Below are 13,294 nucleotides of genomic sequence, written 5' to 3'. Positions count from 1 at the left end.
GGTATATCCCCAGTAATGAGATGGCTGGGTCAAATGGTATTTCTAGTTCTAGATCCCTGAGGAATTGCCACACTGACTTCCACAATGGTTAAACTAGTTTACAGTCCCACCAACAGTGTAAAAGTGTTCCTATTTCTCCACATCCTCTCCAGCACCTGTTGTTTCCTGACTTTTTAATGATTGCCATTCTAACTGGTGTAAGATGGTATCTCATTGTGGTTTTGATTTGCATTTCTCTGATGGCCAGTGATGATGAGCATTTTTTCATGTGTCTTTTGGCTGCATAAATGTCTTCTTTTGAGAAGTTCCTGTTCATATCCTTCACCCACTTATTGATGGGGTTGTTTGTTTTTTTCTTGTAAATTTGTTGGAGTTCATTGTAGATTCTGGATATTAACCCTTTGTCAGATGAGTGGATTGCAAAACTTTTCTTCCATTTTGTAGGTTGCCTGTTGACTCTGATGGTAGTTTCTTTTGCTGTGCAGAAGCTCTTTAGTTTAATTAGATCCCATTTGTCGATTTTGGCTTTTGTTGCCATTGCTTTTGGTGTTTTAGACATGAAGTCCTTGCCCATGCCTATGTCCTGAATGGTATTGCCTAGGTTTTCTTCTAGGATTTTTATGGTTTTGAGTCTAACATTTAAGTCTTTAATGCATCTTGAATTAATTTTTGTATAAGGTGTAAGGAATGGATCCAATTTCAGCTTTCTACATATGGCTAGCCAGTTTTCCCAGCACCATTAATTAAATAGGGAATCCTTTCCCCATTGCTTGTTTTTCTCAGGTTTGTCAAAGATCAGATGGTTGTAGATATGCAGCATTATTTCATAGGGCTCTGTTGTGTTCCATTGGTCTATATCTCTGTTTTGGTACCAGTACCATGCTGTTTTGGTTACCATAGCCTTGTAGTATAGTTTGAAGTCAGGTAGTGTGATGTCTCCAGCTTTGTTCTTTTGGCGTAGGATTGACTTGGCAATGTGGGCTCTTTTTTGGTTCCATATGAACTTTAAAGTAGTTTTTTCCAATTCTAGTCATTGGTAGCTTGATGGGGATGGCATTGAATCTATAAATTACCTTGGGCTGTATGGCCATTTTCATGATGTTGATTCTTCCTACCCATGAGCATGGAATGTTCTTCCATTTGTTTGTATCCTCTTTCATTTCATTGAGCAGTGGTTTGTAGTTCTCCTTGAAGAGGTCCTTCACGTCCCTTGCAAGTTGGATTCCTAGGTATTTTATTCTCTTTGAAGCAATTGTGAATGGGAGTTCACTCATGATTTGGCTCTCTGTTTGTCTGTTATTGGTGTATAAGAATGTTTGTGATTTTTGCACATTGATTTTCTATCCTGAGACTTTGCTGAAGTTGCCTATCAGCTTAAGGAGATTTTGGGCTGAGACAATGGGGTTTTCTAGATATACAATCACGTCGTCTGCAAACAGGGACAATTTGACTTCCTCTTTTCCTAATTGAATACCCTTTATTTCCTTCTCCTGCCTAATTGCCCTGGCCAGAACTTCCAACACTATGTTGAATAGGAGTGGTGAGAGAGGGCATCCCTGTCTTACGCCAGTTTTGCAAGGGAATGCTTCCAGTTTTTGCCCATTCAGTATGATATTGGCTGTGCGTTTGTCATATATAGCTCTTATTATTTTAAGATACGTCCCATCAATACCTAATTTATTGAGAGTTTTTAGCATGAAGGGTTGTTGAATTTTGTCAAAGGTCTTTTCTGCATCTATTGAAATAATCACATGGTTTTTGTTGTTGGTTCTGTGTATGTGCTGGATTATGTTTATTGATTTACGTATGTTGAACCAGCCTTGCATCCCAGGAATGAAGCCCACTTGATCATGCTGGATAAGCTTTTTGATGTGCTGCTGGATTCATTTTGCCAGTATTTTATTGAGGATTTTTGCATCGATGTTCATCAGGGTATTGGTCTAAAATTCTCTTTTTTTGTTGTGTCTCTGCCAGGCTTTGGTATCAGGATGATGCTGGCCTCATAAAATGAGTTAGGGAGGATTCCCTCTTTTTCTATTGATAGGAATAGTTTCAGAAGGAATGGTATCAGCTCCTGTTTGTACCTCTTGTAGAGTTCGGCTGTGAATCTGTCTGGTCCTGGACTTTTTTTGGTTGGTAGGCTATTACTGCCTCAATTTCAGGACCTATTATTGGTCTATTCAGAGATTCAACTTCTTCCTGGTTTATTCTTGGGAGGGTGTATGTGTCAAAGAATTTATCCATTTCTTCTAGATTTTCTAGTTTATTTGCATAGAGGTGTTTATAGTATTCTCTGATGGTAGTTTGTATTTCTGTGGGATTGGTGGTGATATCCCCTTTATCATTTTTTATTGCGTCTATTTGATTCTTCTCTCTTTCCTTCTTTGTTAGTCTTGCTAGCGGTCAATCAATTTTGTTGATCTTTTCAAAAAACCAGCTCCTGGATTCATTAATTTTTTGAAGGGTTTTTTGTGTCTCTATTTACTTCAGTTCTGCTCTGATTTTAGTTATTTCTTGCCTTCTGTTAGTTCTTGGATGTGTTTGCTCTTGCTTCTCTAGTTCTTTTAATTGTGATATTAGGGTGTCAATTTTAGATCTTGCCTGCTTTCTCTTGTGGGCATTTATTGCTATAAATTTCCCTCTACACACTGCTTTGAATGTGTCCGAGAGATTCTGACATGTTGTGTCTTTGTTCTCTTTGGTTTCAAAGAACATCTTTATTTCTGCCTTCATTTTGTTATGTACCCAGTAGTCATTCAGGAGCAGGTTGTTCAGTTTCCATGTAGTTGAGCAGTTTTGAGTGAGTTTCCTAATCCTGAGTTCTAGTTTGATTGCACTGTGGTCTGAGAGACAGTTTGTTATAATTTCTGTTCTTTTACATTTGCTGATGAGAGCTTTACTTCCAACTGTGTGGTGAATTTTGGAATAGGTGTGCTGCGGTGCTGAAAAAAAATGTATATTCTGTTGATTTGGGGTGGAGAGTTCTGTCAATGTCTATTAGGTCTGCTTGTTGCAGAGCTGAGTTCAATTCCTGGGTATCCTTGTTAACTTTCTGTCTCGTTGATCTGTCTAATGTTGACAGTGGGGTGTTAAAGTCTCCCATTATTATTGTGTGGGAGTCTAAGTCTCTTTGTAGGTCTCTAAGGACTTGCTTTATGAATCTGGGTGCTCCTGTATTCGGTGCATATATATTTAGGGTAGTTAGCGCTTCTTGTTGAATTGATCCCTTTACAATTATGTAATGGCCTTCTTTGTCTCTTTTGATCTTAGTTGGTTTAAAGTCTGTTTTATCAGAGACTAGGATTGCAACCCCTGCCTTTTTTTGTTTTCCATTTGCTTGGTAGATCTTCCTCCATCCCTTTATTTTGAACCTATGTGTGTCTCTGCATGTGAGATGGGTTTCCTGAATACAGCACACTGATGGGTCTTGACTCTTTATCCAATTTGCCAGTCTGTGTCTTTTAATTGGAGCATTTAGCCCATTTGCATTTAAGGTTAATATTGTTATGTGTGAATTTGATCCTGTCATTATGATGTTAGCTGGTTATTTTGCTCGTTAGTTGATGCAGTTTCTTCCTAGTCTCGATGGTCTTTACAATTTGGCATGTTTTTGCAGTGGCTGGTACTGGTTGTTCCTTTCCATGTTTAGTGCTTCCTTCAGGAGCTCTTTTAGGGCAGTTGGTGACAAAATCACTCAGCATTTGCTTGTCTGTAAAGGATTTTATTTCTCCTTCACTTATGAAGCTTAGTTTGGCTGGATATGAAATTCTGGGTTGAAAATTCTTTTCTTTAAGAATGTTGAATATTGGCCCCCACTCTCTTCTGGCTTGTAGAGTTTCTGCCAAGAGATCCGCTGTTAGTCTGATGGGCTTCCCTTTGTGGGTAACCCACCCTTTCTCTCTGGCTGCTCTTAACATTTTTTCCTTCATTTCAACTTTGGTGAATCTGACAATTATGTGTCTTGGAGTTGCTCTTCTCCAGGAGTATCTTTGTGGCGTTCTCTGTATTTCCTGAATTTGAATGTTGGCCTGCCTTGCTAGATTGGGGAATTTCTCTTGGATAATATCCCGCAGAGTGTTTTCCAACTTCGTTCCATTCTCCATATCACTTTCAGGTACACCAATCAGACATAGATTTGGTCTTTTCACATAGTCCCATATTTCTTGGAGGCTTTGTTCATTTCTTTTTACTCTTTTGTCTCTAAACTTCTCTTCTTGCTTCATTTCATTCATTTGATCTTCCATCACTGATACCCTTTCTTCCAGTTGATCGAATTGACTACTGAGGCTTGTGCATTCGTCACGTAGTTCTCATGCCTTGGTTTTCAGCTCCATCAGGTCCTTTAAGGACTTCTCTGCATTGGTTATTCTAGTCAGCCATTCGTCTAATTTTTTTTCAAGGTTTTTAACTTCTTTGCCTTGGATTCGAACTTCCTCCTTTAGCTCAGAGTAGTTTGATCGTCTGAAGCCTTCTTCTCTCAACTCATCAAAGTCATTCTCCATCTAGCTTTGTTCCATTGCTGGTGAGGAGCTGCATTCCTTTGAGGAGGAGAGGCACTCTGATTTTTAGAGTTTCCAGTTTTTCTGCTCTGTTTCTTCCCCATCTTTGTGGTTTTATCTACCTTTGGTCTTTGATGATGGTGATGTACAGATGGGGTTTTGGTGTGGATGTCCTTTCTGTTTGTTAGTTTTCCTTCTAACAGTAAGGACCCTCATCTGCAGGTCTGTTGGAATTTGCTGGAGGTCTACTCCAGACCCTGCCTGGGTATCAGCAGCAGAGGCTGCAGAACAGCAGATATTGGTGAACAGCAAATGTTGCTGCCTGATCGTTCCTCTGGAAGTTTTGTCTCAGAGGAGTACCTGGCCGTGTGAGGTGTCAGTCTGCCCCTACTCGGGGGTGCCTCCCAGTTAGGCTACTCGGGGCTCAGGGACCCACTTGAGGAGGCAGTCTGTCTGTTCTCAGATCTCCAGCTGCATGCTGGGAGAACCACTACTCTCTTCGAAACTGTCAGACAGGGACATATAAGTCTGCAGAGGATTCTGCTGCCTTTTGTTTTGCAATGCCCTGCCCCCAGAGGTGGAGTCTACAGAGGCAGGCAGGCCTCCTTGAGCTGAGGTGGGCTCCACCCAGTTCGAGCTTCCCAGCTGCTTTGTTTACCTACTCAAGCCTGGGCAATGGTGGGCGCCCTTCCCCCAGCCTCGCTTCTGCCTTGCAGTTTGATCTCAGACTGCTGTGCTAGCAATGAGCGAGGCTCCATGGGCGTAGGACCCTCTGAGCCACGTGCGGGATATAATCTCCTGGTGTGCTATTTGCTGAGACCATTGGAAAAGCACAGTATTAGGGTGAGAGTGACCCGATTTTCCAGGTGCCGTCTGTCACCCCTTTCTTTGACTAGGAAAGGGAATTCCCTGACCCCTTGTGCTTCCCGGGTGAGGGGATACCTCACCCTGCTTTGGCTCACGCTCGGTGTGCTGCACCCACTGTCCTGCACCCACTTTCTGACACTCCCCAGTGAGCTGAACCCAGTATCTCAGTTGGAAATGCAGAAATCACCCGTCTTCTGCGTCGCTCATGCTGGGAGCTGCAGACTGGAGCTGTTCCTATTTGGCCATCTTGGCTCCACCCCCCGGGATTGTTTTTTCCTTACTGATTTGTTTGTGTTTATTGTAGATTCTAGATATTAGTCCTTTGTCAGATGTATAGATTGTGAAGATTTTATCCCACTCTGTGGGTTGTCTGTTTACTCTGCTGACTGTTCCTTTTGCCGTACAAAAGCTCTTTAGTTTAATTAAGTCCCAGTATCTATCTTTGTTTTTATTGCATTCGCTTTTGGGTTCTTGGTCATGAAATCCTTGTCTAAGTCAGTGTCTAGAAGGGGTTTTCCAATGTTATCTTCTAGAATTTTTATAGTATCAGGTCTTAAGTTTAAGTCCTTAATCCATCTTAAGTTGATTTTTGTATAAGGTGACAGATGAGGATCCAGTTTCATTCTCCTACATGTGGCTAGCCAATTATCCCAGCACCATTTGTTGAAAAGGATGTCCTTTCCTCATTTTATGTTTTTGTTTGCTTTGTCAAAGATCAGTTGGCTGTAAGTATTTGAATTTATTTCTGTGTTCTCTATTCTGTTCCATTGATCTATGTGCCTATTTTTATACTAGTACCACACTGTTTTGGTGACTGTAACCTTATACTATAGTTTGAAATCAGGTAGGGTGATTCCTCCACATTTGTTCTTTTTGCTTAGTCTTGCTTTGGCTATGCAGGTTCTTTTTTGGTTCCATATGAATTTTAGAATTGTTTTTTCTAATTCTGTGAAGAATGATGGTGGTATTTTGATGGAGATTGCTTTGAATTTGTAGATTGCTTTTGGCCATGTGGTCAACTTTCACAATATTGATTCTGTCCATCCATGAGCATGGGATGTGTTTTCATTGGTTTCTGTCACGTATGATTTCTTTCAGCGGTGTTTTGAAGTTTTTCTTGTAGAGGTCTTCTGACTCCTTGGTTAGGTATATTCCTAAGTGGTTTTGTTTTGTTTTTTGCAGCTATTTTAAAAGGGGTTGAGTTCTTGATTTGATTCTCCGCTTGGTCGCTGTTGGTGTATAGAAGAGCTACCGATTTGTGTACATTAATCTTTTATCCAGAAACTTTGCTGAATTCTTTCATCAGTTCTAGGAGCTTTCTGGAGAACTTTTCAGGGTTTTCAAGGTAAACACTCGTATTGTTAGCAAACAGTGACAGTTTGACTTCCTCTTTACCGATTTGGATGTCCTTTATTTCTTTCTCTTATCTGATTGCTCTGGCTGGAACTTCCAGTGTATGTTGAAGAGGAGTCATGAGAGTGGACATCCTTGTCTTGTTCCAGTTCTCTATGGGAATGCTTTCCACTTTTCTCCATTCAGTATTATGTTGGCTGTGGGTGTGTCATATATGGCTTTTATTACATTAAGGTATGTCCCTTGTATGCCAATTTTGCTGAGAGTTTTAATCATAAAGTTTTGCTGGATTTTGTCAAATGCTATTTCTGCATCTATTGAGATGATCATGTGATTTTTGTTTTTAATTCTGTTTATGTGGTGTATCACATTTATTGACTTGCATATGTTAAACCATCCCTGCATTCCTGGCATGAAACCCACGTGATCATGGTGGATTCTCTTTTTGATATGTTATTGGATTGGTTAGCTAGTATTTTGTTAAAGATTTTAGCATCTGTGTTCGTCAAGAATATTGGTCTGTAGTTTTCTTTTTTGGTTATGTCCTTTTCCTGGTTTTGGTATTGGGGTGATGCTGGCTTCATAGAATGAATTAGGGAGGGTTCCTTCTTTCTCTATCTTATGGAATAGTGTCAAAAGGATTGGTACAAATTCTTCTTTGAATGTCTGTTAGAATTCTGCTGTAAGTCTGTCTGGTCCTGGACTTTCTTTACTGGTAATTTTTTATTACCATTTCAATCCTGCTGCTTGTTATTGGTCTGTTCAGGGTATCTAATTCTTCCTGATTTAAGCTAGGAGGGTTGTATTTTTCCAGGAATTTTTCTGTCTCTTCTAGGTTTCCTAGTTTATGTGCATAAAGGTGTTCATAGTAGCCTTGAATGATCTTTTGTATTTCAGTGGTGTCAGTTGTAATGTCTCCTGTTTTGTTTCTTAGTGAGGTTATTTGGATTTTTTCTCTTCTTTTCTTGGTTAATCTTGCCAATGGTCTGTCAATTTTATTTATCTTTTCAAATGATCAGCTTTTTGTTTCATTTATTTTTTGTATTGTTTTCCTTTGTTTTGGTTTCATTTAGTTCTGCTCTAATCTTGGTTATTTCCTTTTTTCTGCTGGGGTTGGGTTTGATTTGTTCTTATTTCTCTAGTTCCTTGAGGTATGACCTTAGAATGTCAGTTTTTACTCTTTCAGTGTTTTTGAGGTAGGTGTTTAGGGCTATAAACTTTCCTCCTAGCACTGCCTTTGCTGTATTCCAGAGATTTTGGTTAAGTTGTGTCATTATTGTCGTTCAGTTCAAAGAATTTTTTAATTTCCATCTTGATTTTGTTTTTGACCCAATGTTCATTCGGGAACAGGTTATTTAATTTCCATGTATTTGCATGGTTTTGAAGGTTCCTTTTGGAGTTGATTTTCAGTTTTATTCCACTGTGGTCTGAGAGAGTGCTTGATATAATTTCTTTCTTAAATTTATTGAGGCTCGTTTTATGGCCTATCATATGGTCTATCTTAGAGAAAGTTCCATGCACTGTTGAATAGAATGTGTATTCTGCAGTTGTTGGATGAAATGTTCCGTATATATCTGATAAGTCCATTTGTTCCAAGGTATAGTTTAAATCCATGGTTTCTTTGGTAACTTTCTGTCGTGATGACCTGTCTAGTGCTGTCAGTGGAGTATTGAAGTTCCCTACTATTTTTATATTGCTGTCTATCTCATTTCTTAGGTCTATTAGTAATTGTTTTATAAATTTGGGAGCTCCAGTGTTAGATGCATGTATGTTTAGGATTGTGATATTTTCCTGTTGGACAAGGCCTTTTACCATTATATAATGTCCCTCTTTGTCTCTTTTAACTGCTGTTGCTTTAAAGTTTGTTTTGTCTCATGTAAGAATAGCTACCTCTGCTTGCTTTTGGCGTCCATTTGCATGAAACGCTGTTTTCTACCCCTTTACTTAAGTTTATATGAGTGCTTATGTGTTAGGTGGGTCTCCAGAAGGCAGCAGATAGTTGGTTGGTGAGTTCTTATCCATTCTGAGGTTCTGTATTTTTTAAGTGGAGCATTTAGGTCATTTACTTTCAATGTTAGTATTGAAATGTGTGGTACCATTGCATTCCTCCTGCTCTTTGTTGCTTGTGTACGTTGGTTTTTTTGTTTTTTGATTTTGCTTTTTAACTTGTATTTTTGTTTTTTAGGTCCTGTGTGATTTAAGCTTCAAAGAGGTTCTGTTTTGATGTGTTTCCAGGATTTGTTTCAAGATTTAGAGCTCCTTTTAGCAGTTCCTGTAGTGGTAGCTTGGTAATGGAGAATTCTGTCAGCATTTGTCTGAAAAAGACTGTATCTTTTATATGTGATGCTTAGTTTCACTGGATACAAAATTCTTGGCTGATAATTGTTTTGTTTGAGGAGACTGAAGATAGTGCCCCCTATCCCTTCTGGCTTGTAGGGTTTCTGCTGAGAAATCTGCTGTTAATCTGATAGGTTTTTCTTTATAGGTTACCTGGTGCTTCTGTCTTACAGCTCTTAAGATTCTTTCCTTCATCTTAACTTTGGATAACCTGAGGACAATGTGCCTAGGTGAAGAACTTTTTTGTGATGAATTTCCCAGGTGTTCTTTGTGCATCTTGTATTTGGATGTCTAGGTCTCTCACAAGGCTGGGTAAGTTTTCCTGGATTATTCCCCCAAATATGTTTTCCAAGCTTTTAGAATTCTCTTCTTCCTCAGGAACACCAATTATTCTCATGCTTGGTCATTTAACATAATCCCAGACTTCTTAGAGGCTTTGTTCATATTTTCTTATTCTTTTTTCTTTGTCTTTGTTGGATTGGGTTAATTAGAAGACCTTGTCTTTGAGCTCTGAATTTCTGTCTTCTACTTGTTCAATTCTATCGCTGAGACTTTCCAGAGCATTTCACATTTCTCAAAGTGTGTCCCAAAGTTTCCTGAATTTTCGATTGTCCTTTCTTTAAGCTGTCTATTTTCTGAATATTTCTCCCTTCACTTCTTATATCATTTTTTGGATTTGCTTGCATTGGACTTCGCCTTTCTCTGGTGCCTCCCTGATTAGCTTAATAACTAACCTCCTGAATTCTTTTTCAGGTAAATCAGGGACTTATCCTTGGTTTGGATCCATTGCTGGTGAACTAGTGTGATTTTTTGGGGGGGTGTTGACGAGCCTTGTTTTGTCATATTACCAGAGTTGGTTTTCTGGTTCCTTCCCATTTGGGTGGGCTCTGTCCAAGGGAAGGTCTAGGGCTTGAAGGCTGTCATTTAGATTCTTTTGTCCCACAGTGTGTTCCCTTGGTGTAGTACTCTCCCCCTTTTCTTATGGATGTGGTTTCCTGTAAGCCAAACTGCAGTGATTGTTGTCTCTCTGCTGGGTATAACCACCCAGCGAGTCTACCCCGTTCTGGGCTGGTACTAGGGTGTCTGTACAGAGTCCTGTGATGTGAGCTTCTGTTGGATTCTCAGCGTGGATACCAACGCCTGTTCCAGTGGAGGTGGCTGTGGTGTGCAGGGGACTCTGTCAGGGTTCTTAGTTTGGCGGTTTAATGCTTTATTTTTGTGCTGGTTGGCCTCCTGCCAGGCAGTGGCACTTTCCAGAGAACATCAGCTGTAGTAGTATCCAGAGGGACCAGCGGTGGGCAGGGCCCTAGAACGCCCAAGATTATATGTCCTTTGCCTTCAGCTACCAAGGTGGTTAGGGAAGGATCATCATATGGGGGCAGGGTTAGGCATGTCTGAGCTCAGACTCTCCTTGGACAAGTCTTGCTGTAGCTGCTGTGGGGTATGGGAGTGAGATTTCCAGGTCACTGGAGTTGTGTACCTAGAGGGATTATGGCTGCCTCTGCAGAGTCATGCAGGTTGTCAGGGAAGTGGGGGAAAGCCGGCAGTCACAGGCCTCGCCCAGCTCCCACACATACTGAAGGGCTGGTCTCACTCCCACCATGCCCCCCACAACAGCCCTGAGTCTGTGTCCAGGCGGAGGGCAAGACATGCTTGAAAACTTGCCCCAGGCTACTCGCCTCCCAGCTGCAAAAGTAAAAGGGCTTGGTTCTCGCTTGTGGAGTCTGCACACCGGATTTGCACCCTCCCCCGAGTTCTGGCCAGGAGGCTTCTCGCCCTTTTCAAATTGTTAGAAAGTTCAGCTAGAGATTTCCTTCTCCCTGTGGAATTTTATCCCCTGCTCCTCTGGCTGCCCTCCAGTTGGATCCCTGTGATGCCAGGCAGGAATGGCCTGCTAGGGGACCCAGCAAGCTCCCAGCGCGTTTCTGCTGCTTCCTCTACCCCTGTATTTCACTCGGCTCTCCAGATTGACCCAGCTCCAGGTAAGGTTGGAAACTTCTCCAGCAAATAGACCTTTAGTTTCTCCAGTGGGGCTGTGTGTTTGGGAGTGGAGGCTCTCCCTTTCCCGCTTCCGCAGTTGGGGCACTCAGTATTTGGGCTGTCTCCCAGGTCCTGCAGGAGCAGTCCGCTTATGTCTGCATCCTCTCAGGATTGCTGGTTTGTTCTTGCAGTCAATCTAGAGCTAGAATTCACAATGCAAGCCTCTGCATGCTGCTGTATCCAGAGCTGCAATCCAGTCCTGCCTCCCGTCAGCCATGATGATCTTACCTCCTCTAAAGACCAATTCTCACTCTATTTATAGTGTTTTCTACTTGTAAAATTGGCCAGTTAAGGACACTGTTATTCAGAGAATGGTGTAATCAGTTAATAGGATCTATATTTATTTTATAGTCTATATTTTAATTATTTATTATAAAGTGGCAACAGTAAATATCTGCCTCACTTATCTTGTATAAATATGAGGACAATTTGTGTATTTTCTGGAGGGACATTTTGAGTTCATCAGAAGGAAGACACTGAAAAATTCCACATGGTACTATATACTCCCATTAGGCATTTTAGAATTTAAGGCTATAATTTAAAACTATTATTGATTATTCTAATTCTATAGGACTGAAAAGGCATTTGCAGAAATACTCTCATTTTCCTGTTTCTATTTCTGTTTATACGGAACAAATAACTTATTTATTTAGGCTTTCCTATGTTCTCTGGGCCATTGATAAGGGTCACAAAATATTACACAGAAATCAGAGCCACAGAAAGATGATAGAAAATGTAGTGAAGAAATTAAAAGGAAAATTAATAGTTGAAGGAAAAATATTCATAGGACATAGAAATATGGAAGCAATAAAGCTGAAAGAGACATTGTGGTAGCAGTTAGATAAAATTAGAAATGATCTTCTGTGATGTGCTGCTCCCCCAAAATAGTCAATTTAATTTTTGACTGTGTATGAGGGGGCATTCTGTCAGGGTGAGAGGAAAGGAAAATATAAATGTTTGAAAACAGACAAGCGTATAGAGCACTGGTATCTTCTGACTTCTTACAAGTTGGCACAGCTTGCTTTGGCTGGTGCATGACTGACAGGTCACTCTTTGCTAGATTGGTTCTACCTGGGGCTGTGTTTGGAGAAGTGCTGCTGCTAAGGCTTATGTACTTTCAGCCCCCTCCAAATGTGCTCCCTAAGTGCCTTTAAGTATGCCCATTCAGTCTTCATGCATTAATTCAGTGAGTTGTCATTGTGTACAGGACATTGCTGTGGGTACCAGGGACACAGCAGTGAACTGCAATAGATGAAGGTCCCACACAGAGCTTACATTCTAGTAAGGGAGACTAACAGTAATCAAGATAAGTAAGAAAAGTATATAGGATGTCAGAAGTTTATTGTCTGTCTCTCCTACTAGAATGTGAGCTCCATGTAGGAGAAAATATAAAGCAGGAAGGGAAGACTAGAAGAGAGGTTATGAATTTTGAGACTTGTTTTACCAGTCCTTTAAGATTTACAGTAACCATAAAGCAGAGTTACTGGCAAATTATTATTATTCCACTATTCCTAAAGTGGCTATAGGAAAGTATACTATTTGTACAGTGCTCTAGGCATCACAGACAAGGTTACTTATATCCAGCGGTAGATGAACAGAGTTTTGCTACCCTACATCCCTCCTGTCTGACCTGAATTGTGAGGGGATCTTGACATGCCTTTGGCCACTTTGTACCAGGCACACAGGATGGAAGGCTCTACCTTAAAGTGTCATTTTTCTGCATGCTATTGAGGAAAGACCTGAACCTAGATTCACTAAAATTATGTTGTCTAAACGCCTGATACCTGTCAGCATATTTTCTCCCAGAACTTACAACCATCACATTATTCCTTGCCCCTACTATAGCTTAGACAGGCATTTCTGTTATTTCAGCTTCCCTAGAACACTTGATATAAATCTAGGCACTTCAAAATTAGAAAGATAACAGAATACAGTAAATGTATTTTAAAAAGAAGAAAGGAAAAGGAAAACAACCAAGCATAGTAGATGTCTTCTGGGTTAAGAATTAAACTTGAGAAGTTCCTCTATTTAGATGGGCCTTTCTTGGATTTGGAAGTAAAGAAGGGGACCATTGATCATATGTACCTAACTACTAAGCCCCGTTTTCTCATCAGAACATGAAATGGAAAGTTAGCAATTATGAGGTGAATTTGAATTGTAGACAACCTGCTAATGTAACCCTAATTTTTATTTGCTTA

The 13,294-nt window shown here is 40.4% G+C and overlaps 1 protein-coding gene across 24 annotated transcripts in view, besides 1 other annotated feature; it reads left to right on the top strand.

Moving 5' to 3' along the window:
* The window catches only part of ARB2A (ARB2 cotranscriptional regulator A), a 493,975-nt gene that overhangs the window by 345,002 nt on the left and 135,679 nt on the right, over window positions 1-13,294 (top strand). The gene's annotated exons all lie outside the window — the stretch shown is intronic.
* Window positions 9,747-10,494: an enhancer, noted in NCBI's record as "OCT4-NANOG-H3K27ac-H3K4me1 hESC enhancer chr5:93091910-93092657 (GRCh37/hg19 assembly coordinates)". NCBI's record gives its function as "activates a minimal SCP1, AML or CMV promoter by ChIP-STARR-seq in naive H9 embryonic stem cells {active_cell/tissue: H9 hESC(naive)}" and the evidence as "EXISTENCE:reporter gene assay evidence [ECO:0000049][PMID:30033119]".

This window comes from Homo sapiens, chromosome 5 (genome assembly GCF_000001405.40).
Source record: "Homo sapiens chromosome 5, GRCh38.p14 Primary Assembly".
Taxonomy (NCBI): Eukaryota; Metazoa; Chordata; class Mammalia; order Primates; family Hominidae; genus Homo; species Homo sapiens.
This window is presented reverse-complemented; position numbering and strand designations above follow the sequence as displayed.